Here is a 19,923-nt window from a genome sequence, read left to right as displayed (position 1 = left end):
CCATGTGTTCCCATTGTTCAATTCCCACCTATGAGTGAGAACATGCGGTGTTTGGTTTTTTGTCCTTGCGATAGTTTACTGAGAATGATGATTTCCAATTTCATCCATGTCCCTACAAAGGACATGAACTCATCATTTTTTATGGCTGCATAGTATTCCATGGTGTATATGTGCCACATATTCTTAATCCAGTCTATCGTTGTTGGACATTTGGATTGGTTCCAAGTCTTTGCTATTGTGAATAGTGCCGCTATAAACATACATGTGCATGTGTCTTTATAGCAGCATGATTTATAGTCCTTTGGGTATATACCCAGTAATGGGATGGCTGGGTCAAATGGTATTTCTAGTTCTAGATCCCTGAGGAATCACCACACTGACTTCCACAATGGTTGAACTAGTTTACAGTCCCACCAACAGTGGAAAAATGTTCCTATTTCTCCACATCCTCTCCAGCACCTGTTGTTTCCTGACTTTTTAATGATCACCATTCTAACTGGTGTGAGACGGTATCTCACTGTGGTTTTGATTTGCATTTCTCTGACGGCCAGTGAGGGGACCATTTTTTCATGTGTTTTTTGGCTGCATAAATGTCTTCTTTTGAGAAGTGTCTGTTCATGTCCTTTGCCCACTTTTTGATGGGGTTGTTTGTTTTTTTCTTGTAAATTTGTTTGAGTTCATTGTAGATTCTGGATATTAGCCCTTTGTCAGATGAGTAGGTTGCGAAAATTTTCTCCCATTTTGTAGGTTGCCTGTTCACTCTGATGGTAGTTTCTTTTGCTGTGCAGATGCTCTTTAGTTTAATTAGATCCCATTTGTCAATTTTGGCTTATGTTGCCATTGCTTTTGGTGTTTTAGACATGAAGTCCTTGCCCATGCCTATGTCCTGAATGGTAATGCCTAGATTTTCTTCTAGGGTTTTTATGGTTTTAGGTCTAACGTTTAAGTCTTTAATCCATCTTGAATTAATTTTTGTATAAGGTATAAGGAAGGGATCCAGTTTCAGCTTTCTACATATGGCTAGCCTGTTTTCCCAGCACCACTTATTAAATAGGGAACCCTTTCCCCATTGCTTGTTTTTCTCAGGTTTGTCAAAGATCAGATAGTTGTAGATATGCGGCGTTATTTCTGAAGGCTCTGTTCTGTTCCATTGATCTATATGTCTGTTTTGGTACCACTACCATGCTGTTTTGGTTACTGTAGCCTTCTAGTACAGTTTGAAGTCAGGTAGCGTGATGCTTCCAGCTTTGTTCTTTTGGCTTAGGATCGACTTGGTGATGCAGGCTCTTTTTTGGTTTCATATGAACTTTAAAGTAGTTTTTTCCAATTCTGTGAAGAAAGTCATTGGTAGCTTGATGGGGATGGGATTGAATCTATAAATTACCTTGGGCAGTATGGCCATTTTCATGATATTGATTCTTCCCACCCATGAGCATAGAATGTTCTTCCACTTCTTTTTATCCTCTTTTATTTCATTGAGCAATGGTTTGTAGTTCTCCTTGAAGAGGTCCTTCATGTCCCTTGTAAGTTGGATTCCTAGGTATTTTATTCTCTTTGAAGCAATTGTGAATGGGAGTTCACTCATGATTTGGCTCTCTGTCTGTTATTAGTGTATAAAAATGCTTGTGATTTTTGCACATTCATTTTGTATCCTGAGACTTTGCTGAAGGTGCTTATCAGCTTAAGGAGATTTTGGGCTGAGACAATGGGGTTTTCTAATCACGTCATCTGCAAACAGGGACAATTTGACTTCCTCTTTTCCTAATTGAATACCCTTTATTTTCTTCTCCTGCCTAATTGCCCTGGCCAGCACTTCCAACATTATGTTGAATAGGAGTGGTGAGAGAGGGCATCCCTGTCTTATGCCAGTTTTCAAAGGGAATGCTTCCAGTTTTTGCCCATTCAGTATGATATTGGCTGTGGGTTTGTCATAGATAGCTCTTATTATTTTGAGATACGTCCCATCAATATCTAATTTATTGAGAGTTTAAGAAGGGTTGTTGAATTTTGTCAAAGGCCTTTTCTTCATCTATTGAGATAATCATGTGGTTTTTGTCTTTGGTTCTGTTTATATGCTGGATTACATTTATTGATTTCTGTATATTGAACCCATCTTGCATCCCAGGGATGAAGCCCACTTGATCATGGTGGATAAGCTTTTTGATGTGCTGCTGGATTCGGTTTGCAAGTATTTTATTGAGGATTTTTGCATCAATGGTCATCAAGGATATTGGTCTAAAATTCTCTTTTATTGTTGTGTCTCTGTCCGGCTTTGGTATCAGAATGATGCTGGCCTCATAAAATGAGTTAGGGAGGATTCCCTCTTTTTCTATTGATTGGAATAGTTTCAGAAGGAATGGTACCAGTTCCTCCTTGTACCTCTGGTAGAATTCGGCTGTGAATCCATCTGGTCCTGGACCCTTTTTGGTTGGTAAGCTATTGATTATTGCCACAATTTCAGAGCCTGTTATTGGTCTATTCAGAGATTCAACTTCTTCCTGGTTTAGTCTTGGGAGGGTGTATGTGTCAAGGAATTTATCCATTTCTTCTAGATTTTCTAGTTTATTTGCATAGAGGTGTTTGTAGTATTCTCTGATGGTAGTTTGTATTTCTGTGGGATTGGTGGTGATATCCCCTTTATCATTTTTTATTGCATCTATTTGATTCTTCTCTCTTTTTTTCTTTATTAGTCTTGCTAGCGGTCTATCAGTTTTGTTGATCCTTTCAAAAAACCAGCTCCTGGATTCATTAATTTTTTGAAGGGTTTTTTGTGTCTCTATTTCCTTCAGTTCTGCTCTGATTTTAGTTATTTCTTGCCTTCTGCTAGCTTTTGAATGTGTTTGCTCTTGCTTTTCTAGTTCTTTTAATTGTGATGTTAGGGTGTCAATTTTGGATCTTTCCTGCTTTCTCTTGTGGGCATTTAGTGCTATAAATTTCCCTCTACACACTGCTTTGAATGTGTCCCAGAGATTCTGGTATGTTGTGTTTTTATTCTCGTTGGTTTCAAAGAACATCTTTATTTCTGCCTTCATTTTGTTATGTACCCAGTAGTCATTTAGGAGCAGGTTGTTCAGTTTCCATGTAGTTGAGAGGTTTTGAATGAGTTTCTTAACGCTGAGTTCTAGTTTGATTGCATTGTGGTCTGAGAGACAGTTTGTTATAATTTCCGTTCTTTTACATTTGCTGAGGAGAGCTTACCTTCCAAGTATGTGGTCAATTTTGGAATAGGTGTGGTGTGGTGCTGAAAAAAATGTATATTGTGTTGATTTGGGGTGGAGAGTTCTGTAGATATCTATTAGGTCCGCTTGGTGCAGAGCTGAGTTCAATTACTGGATATCCTTGTTAACTTTCTGTCTTATTGATCTGTCTAATGTTGACAGTGAGGTGTTAAAGTCTCCCATTATTAATGTGTGGGAGTCTAAGTCTCTTTGTAGGTCACTCAGGACTTGCTTTATGAATCTGGGTGCTCCTGTATTGGGTGCATATATATTTATGATAGTTAGCTTTTCTTGTTGAATTGATCCCTTTACCATTATGTAATGGCCTTCTTTGTCTCTTTTGATCTTTGTTGGTTTAAAGTCTGTTTTATCAGAGACTAGGATTGCAACCCCTGCCTTTTTTTGTTTTCCATTTGCTTGGTAGATCTTCCTCCATCCTTTCATTTTGAGCCTACATGTGTCTCTGCACGTGAGATGGTTTCCTGAATACAGCACATTGATGGGTCTTGACTCTTTATCCAATTTGCCAGTCTGTGTCATTTAATTGGAGCATTTAGTCCATTTACATTTACAGTTAATATTGTTATGTGTGAATTTGATCCTGTCATTATGATGTTAGCTGGTGATTTTGCTTGTCAGTTGATGCAGTTTCTTCCTAGTTTCGATGGTCTTTACATTTTGGCATGTTTTTGCAGCGGCTGGTACCGGTTGTTCCTTTCCATGTTTAGCGCTTCCTTCAGGAGCTCTTTTAGGGCAGGCCTGGTGGTGACAAAATCTCTCAGCATTTGCTTCTCTGTAAAGTATTTTATTTCTCCTTCACTTATGAAGCTTAGTGTGGCTGGATATGAAATTCTGGGTTGAAAATTCTTTTCTTTAAGAATGTTGAATATTGGCCCCCACTCTCTTCTGGCTTGTAGAGTTTCTGCCGAGAGATCCGCTGTTAATCTGATGGGCTTCCCTTTGTGGGTAACCCGACCTTTCTCTCTGGCTGCCCTTAACATTTTTTCCTTCAATTCAACTTTGGTGAATCTGACAATTATGTGTCTTGGAGTTGCTCTTCTCGAGGAGTATCTTTGTGGTGTTCTCTGTGTTTCCTGAATCTGAATGTTTGCCTGTCTTGCTAGATTGGGGAAGTTCTCCTGGATAATATCCTGCAGAGTGTTTTCCAACTTGGTTCCATTCTCCCCGTCACTTTCAGGTATACCAATTAGACATTGATTTGGTCTTTTCACATAATCCCATATTTCCTGGAGGCTTTGTTCATTTCTTTTTATTCTTTTTTCTCTAAACTTCCCTTCTTGCTTCATTTCATTCATTTCATCTTCCATCGCTGATACCCTTTCTTCCAGTTGATGGCATCGGCTCCTGAGGCTTCTACATTCTTCACGTAGTTCTTGAGCCTTGGATTTCAGCTCCATCAGCTCCTTTAAGCACTGCTCTGTATTGGTTATTCTAGTTATACATTCATCTAAATTTTTTTCAAAGTTTTCAATTCCTTTGCCTTTGGTTTGAATTTCCTCCTGTAGCTCAGAGTAGTTTGATCGTCTGAAGCCTTCTTCTCTCAACTCATCAAAGTCATTCTCCGTCCAGCTTTGTTCTGTTGCTGGTGAGGAACTGCCTTCCCTTGGAGGAGGAGAGGCGCTCTGCTTTTTCGAGTTTCCAGTTTTTCTGCTCTGTTTTTTCCCCATCTTTGTGGTTTTATCTACTTTTGGTCTTTGATGATGGTGATGTACAGATGGGTTTTTGGTGTGGTTGTCCTTTCTGTTTGTTAGTTTTCCTTCTAACAGACAGGACCCTCAGCTGCATGTCTGTTGGAGTTTACCAGAGGTCCACTCTCGACCCTGTTTGCCTGGGTATCAGCAGCAGTGTCTGCAGAACAGCGGATTTTCATGAACCACGAATGCTGCTGTCTGATCGTTCCTCTGGAAGTTTTGTCTCAGAGGTGTACCCGGCTGTGTGAGGTGTCAGTCTGCCCCTACTTAGGGGTGCCTCCCAGTTAGGCTGCTCGGGGGTCAGGGGTCAGAGACCCACTTGAGGAGGCAGTCTGCCAGTTCTCAGATCTCCAGCTGTGTGCTGGGAGAACCACTGCTCTCTTCAAAGCTGTCAGACAGGGACATTTAAGTCTGCAGAGGTTACTGCTGTCTTTTTGTTTGTCTGTGCCCTGTCCCCAGAGGTGGAGCCTAGAGAGGCAGGCAGGCCTCCTTGAGCTGTGGTGGGCTCCACCCAGTTCGAGCTTCCCAGCTGCTTTGTTTACCTAAGCAAGCCTCGGCAATGGCGGGCGCCCCTCCCCCAGCCTTTCTGCTGCCTTGCAGTTTGATCTCAGACTGCTGTGCTAGCAATCAGTGAGATTCCATGGGCGGAGGACCCTCTGAACCAGGTGCGGGATATAATCTCCTGGTGCACCATTTTTTAAGCCCGTCGGAAAAGTGCAGTATTCGGGTGGGAGTGACCCAATTTTCCAGGTGCCGTCTGTCACCCCTTTCTTTGACTAGGAAAGGGAACTCCCTGACCCCTTGTGCTTCCCAAGTGAGGCAATGCCTTGCCCTGCTTCAGCTCACACACAGTGCACTGCACCCATTGTCCTGCGCCCACTGTCTGGCACTCCCTAGTGAGATGAACCCGGTACCTCAGATGGAAATGCAGAAGTCACCCGTCTTCTGCATCACTCACACTAGGAGCTGTAGACCAGAGCTGTTCTTATTCGGCCATCTTGGCTCCTCTGATTTTTTTAAAAATTCTTATTCAAAAAGTTATTTTTTTCATTTGAAGATTATCTTGTCCTGAGAATTTTGATCTTAAGATGTCAACGAAGAAAACTGGTTTTGATGGCATCAGATATTTATGAAAGCAAGCCTTATGAGGGGCCGGGCACGGTGGCTCACGCCTGTTATCCCAGCACTTTGGGAGGCCTAGGCGGGCAGATCACGAGGTCAGGAGATCCAGACCATCCTGGCTAACAAGGTGAAACCCCGTCTCTACTAAAAACACAAAAAATTAAAAGCATTATGTTTTAAGAAGTGAGTCCTGAAATTCCAGGTGCAGGTAAAGGTGTGTGGAAAGGGACATTCTCATTCAGAGTGCAAATTGATACAACCACTTTTGAGAATGATCTGGTGATATTTAGTAAGTAAACTTGAAAATGTACAATCTTTACTCTGATGGTTAATTTTATGTATGAACTTGATTAGGCTTTGGGATGCCCATACAGCTAGTTCAACATTATTTCTGGGTGTGTCTGTAAGGGTGTTCTGGAAGAGATTAGCAAATGAACCAGTGGACACAGCCACGAAACTCTGCCCTCACCCATGTGGATGGACCTCATTGTATCTATTGAGGTCAGACTAAAAACTCAGAGAAAGAACAAAAGCTCAGAGAAAGGGCAAATTTCTCCCTCTTTTTGAGCTGGGTCATCCATCCTCTCCTGCCCTTGGACATCAGTGCTCCTGATCCTTGGCCTTGAACTCGAGCCAGGACTCACATCAGTGGTACCTAGTTTGGGGACCTTCAAACTTGGATTGGGACTACACCATTGGCTCCCTTGGTTCTCAAGTCTTCAGGTTCGGACTGGAACTATACCACCAGCTTTAGTGGGTCTCTAGTTTACAGAGGACAGAACATGGAATTTCTCAGCCTTCAAAATTGAGTGAGCCAATGCCCCATAATAAATCTTTTTCTAAGCATCGATATATGTCCTATTGGTTCTGTTTCTGTAGATAACCTTGATTAATACATTTATCAATTTCACTTTTCCACTTCCACATACATACTCAAGAAAGAAACTCATGCTCACATGCATAACATGACTTACAAAAAGTTTCATTGCAGCATTTTTATAAAAGCAATGAATTATAAACAAAATCTAAATGTCCATCAATAGGGGTATGATTAAATAAATGAGGGATATTCATATGAGAGAATAATATATATATTTACAGTAAACAAAATAATTAAACTTGTATCAGGATGGAAAGATATAAAATATACAATACTGAGTGAAAAAACAAAACGTTGAATAAAATGTGATGCCATATTATAAATATTAAGGTTATATATTGTGTGTGTACACATACTATGTTGTAATAACAAAAACCATGGACAGGGTGGACACATAACAGATCAATGATACTGCTGCCTATCATGGTAAATAAAAGTGATAGGAAGAGCAATGAGACTAGGAAAATATATGAGATGGAAGCAGCATTTGTTAAAGAGATCAACAGTATTATTACAGCTAACATTTTAAAACTATGAAAAGACCATGATAAAATGTTAACACTTGTTAATAATGAGTGGTGAACAATTAGGTATCTTTTAGGCTATTCTCTAAATTGTCTGTCTGAGTTTTACCTCCCTACTTCCAGACAGCATTCTACCCTTTCACATCTCAGAATGGTAGAATGTTCTTACCAACTGGGCAACACATTTTCTTTTTCTTTTTCAAAAAATAATTTTAAAAACTTTTATTTAAAGAGAACAGATACTCCAAGGTGGTGGAAGGTAGTAAGTGAGGAACATTGAAGATCCAGACTAATGCTTCTTGAAGTGTGGTCCATGGACTAACAGTATCAGCATTTCCTGGGAATTTGATGGAAATGCAAATATTTAGTCACAAGTAAAGCCTACTCAACCAGAATCTCTGGAAGTGCAGCTCGGCATTCTCAGTTTTAACGTTTTTGGGTCATTCTGACACATGCTTTTGTTTGAGAACCACTGTTCTAGAGAAACGGTAGATAATTTTGACTTAATAATACTGGTAGTAAATATTTTAGGCTTTATTGACCAAAAGCCAAAGGGATCAGAACATACCCATTGAAAAGAGAGAGCAATCAGGAATTGTTAAGGTACAGCAACCCTGCCCACTGGTAAAAGGGGCTCAGTCACATCTGGAAGAAAATTAGGTTAGGAGTTATTATTTCTGGGATGCAGAGCTCAGAGGGTTTGGGTGGGTGGCTTTCCTGCCTCCCACTGAACTCTTTCTTTAAAAAAACTAAGTGTAGATGTGCGATGCAGTCAAGAGACTCAGATAGGGACAGAGATGATGCCACTGAACATCTTAGCTGTTCTGTGGTGGCTATGTTTAATTTTCCTGAGACCCGTGCTCCTGGAAAACAGCAAAGCTTAAGATACCTCCCCACCCTCTTGTGTCTTAGGAAAGGATTTACTGCAAAGAACTACACTTCTCCAAACAACTTAGGCAAGACTCAGAGATCACTCCCCAACTCTTCCTTACTGATGACAAGCCAGATATAGACTCTCCAAATCCCCATTTAGCCTCATAAATGATTAGCTGAAATCTGGTACAAATCTGTTACACACAAATTTGCAATCTACAACAATCTGCAAACCCACACTCTTCCCTTTCTGTAAACTTTTTATTAAAATAGAATTTTAGAGGTCTAAAAGGATTCTTAACCTTGTGTTCCTAGAATTCAGAAAGACTAAAGATTTCACCTGAGTTTGGATAAAATTTCTTTTTGTGATTATACTTTCTCTGGGGAAAATATTCAGACGTTTCCTCAGATTCTCAGAAATTTTTCAGAACACTTGTAGCGATTGAGAGACTTTCAGAAATGGTAAATTAAGAAATTTGGCAGATGCTCTCCCCAGCAAAGCAAAAACTTAAATAGTAAAAAATATTTTAAAATATCACTTAAAATCTCTGACCTTGTCCAAAGGGCGCATAGCAAATGGCAAAATATTCAATCAAGACAATCTAATAAATCATGGTAAGAAAACCAGGAGTTTATGGCATTGGGAAAATGAATAAAATCAGCAGTGAAAGGGGGCCATTATTACTGAGCTAGTATAGAGATTTCTCAAGTAACTAAAAATGGAACTACCATTTGTTTAAGCAATCCCACAACTAGGTATCTACCCAAAGGGAAAGAAATCACTGTGTAAAGAAGACACCTGTACTCATATGTTTATTGCAGCACTACTCACAATAGCCAAGTCATGAAATCGACCTAAATATCCATCAGTGGATGACTGGATAAAGAAAATATGGTATACATATACCACGGAACACTTCGCAGCCATAAAAATAGAATGAAATCATGCCCTTTGCAGCAACATAGATAGATCTGGAGGTGATTATCCTAAGTGAAATAACTCAGAAAATCAAATACCACGTTTTCTAACTTATAAGTGGGAGCTAAGCAATTGGTACACATGGACACAAAAACGGAAATAATAGACACTGGGGGCTCCAAAAGGGGGACAGCAGGAAGGGAGTGTGGGTTGAAAAATTAGCTATAGGGTACAATATTCATTGTTAGGGTGATGAGTACAATAGAAGCCCAAACCACACCATTATGCAATATATCCATGTAACAAACCTGCATATGTACCCTCGAATCTATAGTTTTTTTAAAAATAAAAATAATTATTAGAGTCCTATATAAAAATTGAATCAACAAATTAGGGAACTTAGATGAAATGGACAATTCCTAGAAAGACACAAATTGCTAAACTTATTCAAGAATAAATACAAGATTATAATACACCATATGAGTGGACAAATTGAATTAGTAATTCTATAAACTTTCCATTACAAGGAAACCCTAGGCCCAGAGTGTGTCACTTCACTTCCACCAAAAAAAGATGTAAAACTAATTCTTCAGAAACTCTTCCATGAAATAGAAGAGGAAGAAGTACTTCTCAACTCATTCTATGAGGCCAATATTATCCTAAAAAACACAACAGAAAATAGTATCACAAGAAAACCGCCTGCCAACATTCCTTACGGGCATAGGTACAAATATCCTCAAAAAAATACTCAGCAACCGAATTCAATACCATCAAAAGTAAATAAATAAATAAAGAGGTTAAGTCATGACCAAGTAGAACTTATTCTAGGAATGCAAGTTTGATTTAACATCTGCAAATTAATGAATATAATTTACAATATTAATAGAATAAAGTACAAAAAAAGGGTCATTTCAACAGGTATAGAAAAAAATTGAAAAATGTGATGCCCTTTCATGATAAAAACACTCAACAAACTAGAAATAGAAGGGAATTCCCTTAACCTTCTAAAAGGTATCTACAAAAAATTCTGATAATATCATACTTAATGGTGAAAGAATGAATGCTTTCCCCTTAAGATTAGGTCCAAGACCAAGCAAATATGTCTGCTTCTATCACTTTGAGTCATCATAATACTGGGGTTTATAACCAGGGCCATTAGTCAATAAAATGAAATGTAAGTTACCCACATTGAAGAGAAAGAAGTAAAATTATCTTTTTTAAAAATGGCATAATTTTGTATATAGAAAGTTCTCAGAAATCCACTGGAAAAAAAATAGAACCAATAAACTCATTCAGCAAAGTTTCAGGATATAAGATCAAAATGCAAATATTAATTGAATTTTACACATGAAAAATGAGCATTTTGATATAAAACTAATAAAATAATTCAATTTACAGTGGCATTACAAAATAAAATATTCAGGCACAAATTTAATTAATAATAATAGTTTTTTTTTTTTTTTTTAAACAGGGTGTCGCTCTATCACCCAGGCTGGAGTGTGGTGGCACAATCATGGCTTACTGCAGTTGTGACTGCCTGGGCTCAAGTGATTCTCCCACCTCCATGCCCTGAGTATGTCAGACTACCAGTACGTGCCACCATGTTCAGCTAATTAATTAATTTTTTCTTTTTCTTTTCTTTTTTTTTTTTTTTTTTTTGGAGAGACAGAGTCTCACTATGTTGCCTAGGCTGGTCTCAAACTGACCCTGCTCAAGTGATCCTCCTACCTCAGCCTCTCCAAGTTCTGGGATTACAGGCATGAGCCACTACACCTGGCAAAATTACCAATAGATGTAAAATTTTTGTATAAAAACAACAAAATATCATTGGGAGAAAATAAAGACCTACATAAATAGAATCACATCACATTGTCATGGAATAAAAGACTTAATATTGTTAAGATGGCAACACTCCCAAATTGGTCTACACATGCAACACAATTCTTGCTGCCTTTATTCTTTACAAATTGACAAATTTTTCCTAAAATTTTTAAGAAATTCCAAAGTACCACAAATAGCCAAAACAAAGAACAAAGTTAAAGAAAAAAGTTGGAAAACTCGCTTCCAACTTTCTGATTGATAAACAATACAAAAGTACAGTAATCTAGACAGTGTAGTGCTGGCATTAGTATAAACACACAGATCAATGGAATGGAATTGAGAATACAGAAATAGTTACTTACATTTATGCTCGACTGATTTTCAATGAAGGTGCCAAAAAATTTAATGGAGAAATAAGAGACTTTTCAATAGATGGTGCTAGGACAAACACAAAAGAATGAAGTCAGACCCCGACCTCACACCATTCACAAAAATTAACTTAAAATTGATGTATTTATTTAGAGACAGGGTCTCGCTTTGTCACCCAGGCTGGAGTGCAGCAGTGTGATCACAGCTGGCTGCAGCCTCAACCTCCCAGGCTCAAGTGATCCTCCCACTTCAGCCTCCCTAGTAGCTGGAACCAGAGGCACATGCCACCAAAACCAGCTAATTTTTGTATTTTTCGTAGAGACAGGGTTTTGCCATGTTGCTCAAGCTGGTCTCACATTCCTGGGCTCAAGTGATCTGTCCACTTCGACCTTCCAAATTGCTGGGATTACAGGCATAAGCCACTGTGTCCAGCCTAACATAAAATTTATCACAGACCGGCCGGGCTCAGCGGCTCATGCCTGTAATCCCGGCAATTTGGGAGGCCGAGGCGGGCAGACAACGAGGTCAGTAAATCAAGACCATCCTGGCTAACACGGTGAAACCTCGTCTCTACTAAAAATACAAAAAAATTAGCGAGGCGTGGTGGCGGGCGCCGGTAGTCCCAGCTGCTCAGGAGGCTGAGGCAGGAGAATGGTGTGAACCCGGGAGGCAGAGCTTGTAGTGAGCCAAGATCATGCCACTGCACTCCAGCCTGGGTGACAGAGTGAGACTCCATCTCAAATAAAAAAAAAAAGAAAAGAAAAAAAATTTTTTTTATCACAGACCTAAATGGAAAAACAAAAAATAAAAACTATAAAATTATTAGGATAAAACAGGCATAAATCTTCATGACTCTTCTCTGCGAACAATACTATTAAGAAATGATAAGCAACTAGCAGAATGGGAGAAAATATTAACAAACCATAAATCTCATTAGGACTTTTAAGTAGAAAAACGTAAAAAAAATATATACAACTCAATCAAAAAAAGACAATTCAATTATAGGAGAGAAAAATTTAATTTCTTCAAAGAATGCATACAAATAGCCAACGAGCAAATGAAAACCTTCTTAACATCATACGCTGCTAAAGATTCAAGTAAAAACAACAGAGATATCACTTTATACCGATTGACTGCTTCTAATAAAAAAGAAACACATGATTACAAGTGTTTTGTAAGGTTGTGGAGGAACTGTAACCCTCATATATTTTTGGTGGAAATGTAAAATGATGCAGCCACTTTGAAGAATATTTTGGCAGTGCCTCAAACTATTTAACATAGAGTTATCATATGACCCAGCAATTTTCTCCTATGTATATATTCAAGAGAATGGAAAACAGATATCCACAAAAACTTGTACACACTGTTCATAGGAGAATTATTCATAATAATCAAAGAGTGTGAACAATGCAAATGTTCATCAGTTGATGAATGAACTTATAAAATGTGGCGTATCTATTTAGTGGGATATTATTTGGCCATAAGAAGAAATTATTTGGTAAAACATGTTGGGAAATGAATGAACCTTGGAAAGATTATGCTAAGTAAAAGCAGTCACAAAAGACTCGAATATTATATTATTCCATTTCTGTGGAATTGAATTCCACAGAATGGCAAATTCTGTGGCATCTATTATTCCAGAATTGGCAAATCAATAGAGACAGAAAATAGATTAGTGGTTACCTAAGGATGAGTGGGAGGAGAAAGTGGGAGATGATTGTTAATGGATATGAGATTTATTTTACAGGGGAAAAGTGTCTTATAATTTATACAGATGTTCCTCGACTTATGATCGAGTTACATTGCAATAAATCCATCATAAGTCAAAAGCACATTTAATACCCTGACAAACCCATCATAAAGTTGAAAAATGATCAGTGGAACAATCCTAAGTTGAGGACTGTCTGTATTGTGGTAATTGTTGTGTAGCCCTGTACATATTCTAAAATATGTTGAATAATACACTTTAAATAAGTTAATTGTATCCTATGCAAATTATATTTCAGTAAAACTGTTAATAAGAAGTTGTAGTTAGTGACTACCATGGATCATAGATCATAATGAAAAATGGCAGATAAGCAGTCCACTCTCACAACAACAGTAGATTAGGACAGTTTAGTCATTTGTATACTTTATAATAAACCAAATACAAGTTCAGCAGACTTCTAACATCTTGCACACTCTTTCATCCCCAAGCTGGATTTACTACAAATGTCACTCTCCTCATGGGGTATTTAGAGTCTTGTCATTGCAGAGGTATTTGTTTCTTCCCATTTTGCCTCAGAACTATCCTTTACAAACACAAAGCATGACACCATATGTAGAGCTGTTCACATTCCCTACTAGGTGGGAATCAATCATGCCATATGTAGTTTTGTTTCACTTGTATCCACCAATAACAGCAGCTTCTCAGCAAATGCTTGTGAAAAGAACAGGTAAATAAAGTCCTCCATCAGTGGTTGAAAATTTGTGTCCAATCAGCTACCATTAGACAGAAAACATACTTTGTTTCATGTACACAGATGTTGACTAAAGTAAACTGGTTGCCAACATTTAAATATTGGGCATTTCCACATAAAAACCCACATTTCTAGGCTCTTGAAAATTTGAAGAAAATTTGACTTCTGGTCCCACATGAGAGCAGTCAACTGAATAATTACTGTATCCTAATTTGCCACGAACTCCACCATTCTTGTCTATACATTCATGCATTTTCATTTACTTATAACATTTACATTTGCTTCCTGGTCTATGCACACATTTGATATTATGTGATTTCTGTGTTAACCTGTAACACATTATATAGCTTTCAATGAAAAAATAATTTTATTTTTGTTCTCTTGAAATTGCCTTAGAACTAAGACTGCCATTAGAATGGCCCCAGAGCTTCCAGAGGACATGTAAGTGAAACAAGTGGATGAGTCATCAGAACCTCTGTGCCTGTCATTCACTCCAGTATCGGTGTTTCAAGGTGCACCTTCCAGCAAGAACCTTCTGAGTCACTGCTTAGAAAGTCTGTGGTTACCAAATTATTTAGTAAATAATTTATGTTATTTTTCTCACATTAGTAAAATTACCATAATTTTGTTTTCCCTTTCTGTTTATTAATATCTCTGGGTTCTGCTTGGAAGTCCAGAAAACTTTTTCAGGAAGCAGGCTGCCTCTGAGGCCATTCTCCTTCCTGTCATGTTCAGAAATTCCTGTTCTTCAAGTGGACTCATTTCCTTTCTGCCATTGCAGCTGTTACTCAACCACCTTGGATGCAGAAAGATAAGAAGGGTGACCCCACCTTCTTGTCACCACTTAAGGGTTCAAGTACTATGTGTACACCAATGGCTTCAAACTGTGCATTTTTATCTCAACCTCTCCCCCCAGCATCCAAGGCACACATCCAGTGTCTACGTTTAATCTTAATTTTGATATCCCATGGGCATCTCAAATTTGAGGTTTTGACACCATTACCCACTCCACACGCATAGTCCTCCTACTGTAGCCTTTCCAAACTCAGACTGGCAACTCCATTCCAGCCTAAGCAACTTCCAGCTGCCTTAGAGGCACAAAACTCTGCAGTCTCCTATGACTCCTCTCTTGCTCTCACTCCTGACATCTTGCTCACAAGCAAATTCTATTGGCTCCTTCAAAATGTATCTGAATCTCCCACCTCCACTCCCAACTCCTGGTCCATGCCAGCCTCTTCTCTTAACACTGCAAGAGGCTCCACACTGTCTTTCTGCTTCTGGTCTGCTCCCACATCCCTTTCAGTGTATTCTCAAAACACCCATCTGAGTAATTCTCATGAAATATGTCCCATCTCACTCCTCATGTGCTAGCTTCTCCATTTACCCCAGACTGCAAGCCAACAACCTTGCAGCGGCCTCAAGGCCAGAGATGATCCAGACATACATCCTCTCTCCAGACTTTTCCCTGTTCTATTCCCCGCCTTCCACTCTGCTGAGTGGAGTTCCTGATAACTATGCAATGTTCTTTTCTCAGATGTCTGCATGACTAGTTCTATGTCTCTTTATTCAAATTTTACTTTCTCTATTAGGGTTCCATAGCCACCTCTTCAAAATTATTCCCCCAGTACTTCTGATTCTCCTTACCTAATTTATTTATCAGCTTGGCATTTATCACCATCTTTATATTTTGTACTATATATTATATACATACTATATATACACACATACATATTTGTATACTTATATAATTTTACATAAATTTATAAAACTATATAGAAACATTTACATTTTTACTTATAAACAAATTACATATAAAAGCATATATTTTATGTATTTTACTTGTTCATATATTTTATCAGATTCACTATATTTTGCTTATTCAATGAGTGTAAATTCATTGTCTATCTCACTCGCCAGAATATGTAAGCTCTCTGAGGACAGGTATTTGTATTGGTTGTGTTTCCAGCTGAATTTCCAAGGCTGAGGACAGATCTGGCACTAAGAAGGCTCTCAAGAAATTGAATGAGCCACTTCAGCCACATCCCATTGGCTAGAACCCTGTTGCAGGGACCGTAATCTAACTGCGGGGTACCCTGGGAAGTGCAGAGGGACAGAGACAGGTGCTGAGCTCCAGCCATCTCTGTCATATCCAGGACATGAGAATAATCAGTGCTGGTCCAGCCCCTTCTCCCAACTTACCACCCATACTGCATGACCAGTGCTATGCTGCCACATCCCACTTGCATTCTAGATCATTCCTTTCAGTAACTTGTACTTTTCCGCCTTTCATTTTCACCTATCTGGGAGGCTCTCTAAGGCTGGGCTTGCATTTGTCATTTTTGTTCCTAACTCAAGCCACCTTCCAGTCAGGGGAGATGTGGTGCTGGTAACAAAATCCTGAGGAGACAGCCTTTCTCCTCCCTCTATTGTGAGGGAAAGTACCACTTCCTTCTTTAAATAAAGGCAAATTCATTTATTATTAGAAATTTGGCAGCTTTCCAGCCAGCCACTCACACACACACACTCTCACACACACACACACACACACACAAACAAAACAAAACAAAAAACCTTTGCAATGCTCCATGTGCTTTATCCCACCTCAAGACTTCCTCAAGCTTGAAACTACCTTGATCCACATCCTGCCTTTAAAATAATAGATTTCCATGAGACACACTGAACTAGAAATTCACCAGTGGGGCAGAGTACAGGCAATAAGAGGCCAGACACTCCAAAAATTAGAAAGAATTTCCATACAAAGAGATGAAAGGAGAAAAAATATACATTTTCTGGACACATTTATTACATCCCAGTAATTCCAAGTTCCAATAGAGTAAAAACCTCACCCTTATGTCATCTACAGAGCCTAACACAGTGCCTGACTCACAGGAGAAGCATCGTATTTACTTGCTGAATGATTGAGATGAATGCTGGTCTCTGTGCTTGGTTCCCTATCTATACATTTAGAATCTGATTCATCTGTGAAGTTTATTATCATTCTATTCTTCCAATAAGAAAACAAGAATTCCCAGAGGCAGAAAAACTGGCCCAGTATTGAACAGGGAGTAAGGAATAGAGCTGTGAATGGGATCAGATCTTTCTGGAGCCAATTTTCTTACTTTTTTCGACGACGTTCCACTGTCTAGTAAGTTAGAGTGAGCTCATGGCCAATGCCTACAAAAAGCTTTGCCTGGAGACAGCCAGCACAGAGCGATCAGCGGCATTTGGAATGCATTGCTCTGAACTGATACAATGAGTTAATTAGAGTCAGTAGGGCCCGCTGATGCTTTCACACAAAGTATGTAAGGAGAGGCCTGGAGATCCTCTGCCTGTTCTCTTAGAAAAAGAGAAGTAGAGACCTACATGGATGTCTCTTATACAGCCACAGCCACAGATCTATATGTGCTTATCTATAGGGAGATTGATAATTATTATGCTGATCATTGTAGTCAGCTCTGATCTCCCACTTAGTGCCGGCCGGCCATTATGAATTCAGTCTTTTGTCTCACTTAGTCCTCATAGAGTAGTTAAATGACTTGCTCATGGACACACATATCAAGTGCTCAAGTAGGAATATCAATCATTCCAGATATATCTGATGACAGGCACCGACATTTTCACCTTGATGCTGGAAACTATGCATGGACATCAAGGTATGCAAACAGATAAACACACAGACTCACATGCAGACATCCTGCAAGCATGGAATCTTTGAAGGCTGTCTCAGCAGATCACAGGGTTCTGCATACTAGGAAAGAAGACTCACTGGTTCTAATACCCCATTTCAGTCCCAAGACAGGGCTCAGAATAGAGACCCAGAGGTGTGGCAGGGGAAGAAAGAGCACGGGCAAAGTAGAAACTCGTACCTTGTGATTTGGCTATAAGTCACCCTTCAACTAATTCCTAATGTTCACAGCTTCCTATGAAACAATTTCCTTATTAATGTCCCTATTTCCTCCCTCTTTTATTTATTCTACTGGTTTTCCAGTGGTAGAGAAGGTGAAAATGTATTAACATTTAGTGAACATCTATTGTTATCTGAAGATTTACGTATTACCTCATTTAAGAGCCTTTGGGAAATATGTATGATTGTCCCCTTTTTATAGATTAAGGGACTGAGATTCCAAGCAGCAACTCTATGGAAATCACATATCTAGTAAATGGCAGAGAAGAAAGAGAAGCCAGGTATCTGTGACTCCAGAGCCTATGCACTTTCTCTTACACTTTGTAAAAATTCTCAACTAAAATTGATTGACTTCTGACTGTATTTCAGCACTCTTCAAAGTTCTTCACCTCAAGTTATTGCATCTCGTCCTCACAAAACCATCCAAGGTGATTTATGTTATTTAAAAAAAAAAAAAGTGGTGACAATGAAGATTAGGTTGCTAAAGTAATTTAACAAACATCATGCAGCTGGAAACTGTAGAGCCAGAATTCAGGCGGGCTGATTCCAGCACCCGGCCTCTCATACATTATGATATGGTCCCTCCAGAATTTTGTGTGTGTGCTATAAGTAGCACAGTTAGCAGATGACCAAAGAGACTAATTCAAAGCAACATTTATTTCCACTCTCTCAGTATATCAAAGGAGCCATTTCTCTGGAGAAAAAAACAACAACTATGTCTTAAAATATGTGTTTGTGTCCGTATATGTTTTTTGCATTTAAGACAGCCAAATTAAACATAACTCTGAATAAATGCCATGTTAGAACAAGCATGTTTTGGGGAGGGAAATAAATTATTAGTTGCTGCTAAGCCTGCCTTTGGCTCAATCATTTTCTGTATCTGTGTGGATTCAAGTCAAGAGTTATTCTAGACATTCTTTGTCATTTAGATAACCTGTTGGCTATATATTTGTTATATGTTCAACTCTATGCATGATGCCTAAATGCTTTACATCCTTGTTCATATTAAATTGAACTATGGAGGTTCTACTTTAACCATGACAACAATTTCCTTCTATGACTATTAAGAAGAGATTATCTGGGAACAAGCTAGGGAATATTTGAGCAAGAGATTCCTCCAAGAACAGAATTCTAAGAGAAGTCAGCTTTGGGGCTTGTCCAATGGAGAGAGTGTTACCAGTAGATCTTATTCAAGTATAACTCATCCAGAAAAGCTAAGCCAAAATCAGGATGGAGGGAGACAGAAGCAAATGTAATGGATAAGAACAACATTTGAGTACAAAACTTTGTAAGGCTAGAGAGATGTGGGACTGGGGTTATTTAGATGACAAATATATTCTAGGAGATAATCAGAAAAAAAGGTAAATGGAACAGGAAGAAGCAGGAGAGCATAAAACAGAGGTTGTTGAGCACTGGCATACCTTTGGAAAACACAGATTGACAGAAGTCAGCCTGTACAGCTGCTGTGTTGAAAAAGCACCAAGAGGATGTGAAGGGCCTGTACAAGTTGTCTTGGGTGAGGGATTGCCTGGCACTGGGAAACATTCAGCTTGTGCCATTTGCAACAGAAGCCTTCTTAGCAACTTCTCTCTGAAGCAACACAGCTTGGAGTGATCCTGAAGACAGGGATTGGAAGAAAGTAAGGCAGGGAAAACAACCAGGGGAAGGAAGTAGACGAAGAGGGACTTGATCAGCCATGTGCAGCCAAACAGTCTTCCCCTTTTGACCCTACAAAGGACAGGAACTTAGTTCGTCATGAGCAAGAATGACTCATAATCATTGCTAGATAAGGGCTGTTCATTTTTATTAATCATATCTTTAGCCTGAACAAGCCTCTCTTTAAGTTATTGTTCATGTTAGTAATTACAATGCCCTCTCCAACTCAATGATGGAATCAATGGCTATGCTGATAAGAAACATCATTGCTTTATGTCTTTTTAATTCTGCCTACTTTATGAAAATAGAGAAGCTTAGTGATTACAAGCACTGACCCTAGAGTGAAATGACCAGGATATAAATCCTTTTTCACATTCTGTGTGATCTTAGAAAAGTAGCTCTTTCTTTCTGAGCCCATGTTTTCATCTCAGTAAAACAAGGAAATAAATATCGGAATCGAGTGCTG

General features: G+C 38.8%; 1 long non-coding RNA gene across 1 annotated transcript in view; it reads right to left on the bottom strand.

Annotated features, from left to right (window-relative positions):
- Nucleotides 1–19,413, bottom strand: part of LOC107986178 (uncharacterized) — a 245,894-nt gene extending 226,481 nt beyond the window's left edge. Inside the window, exons 1-2 of the long non-coding RNA NR_188483.1 lie at nucleotides 19,223–19,413; nucleotides 11,432–11,507 (exon numbers count right to left, since the gene is read on the bottom strand). This is a non-coding gene — a long non-coding RNA (uncharacterized LOC107986178). The remainder of the gene's footprint in view (nucleotides 1–11,431; nucleotides 11,508–19,222) is intronic.
- Nucleotides 19,414–19,923: the final 510 nt, after the last annotated feature.

The sequence above is a fragment of the Homo sapiens genome, chromosome 4, assembly GCF_000001405.40.
Source record: "Homo sapiens chromosome 4, GRCh38.p14 Primary Assembly".
In the NCBI taxonomy this organism is placed as follows: Eukaryota; Metazoa; Chordata; class Mammalia; order Primates; family Hominidae; genus Homo; species Homo sapiens.
This window is presented reverse-complemented; position numbering and strand designations above follow the sequence as displayed.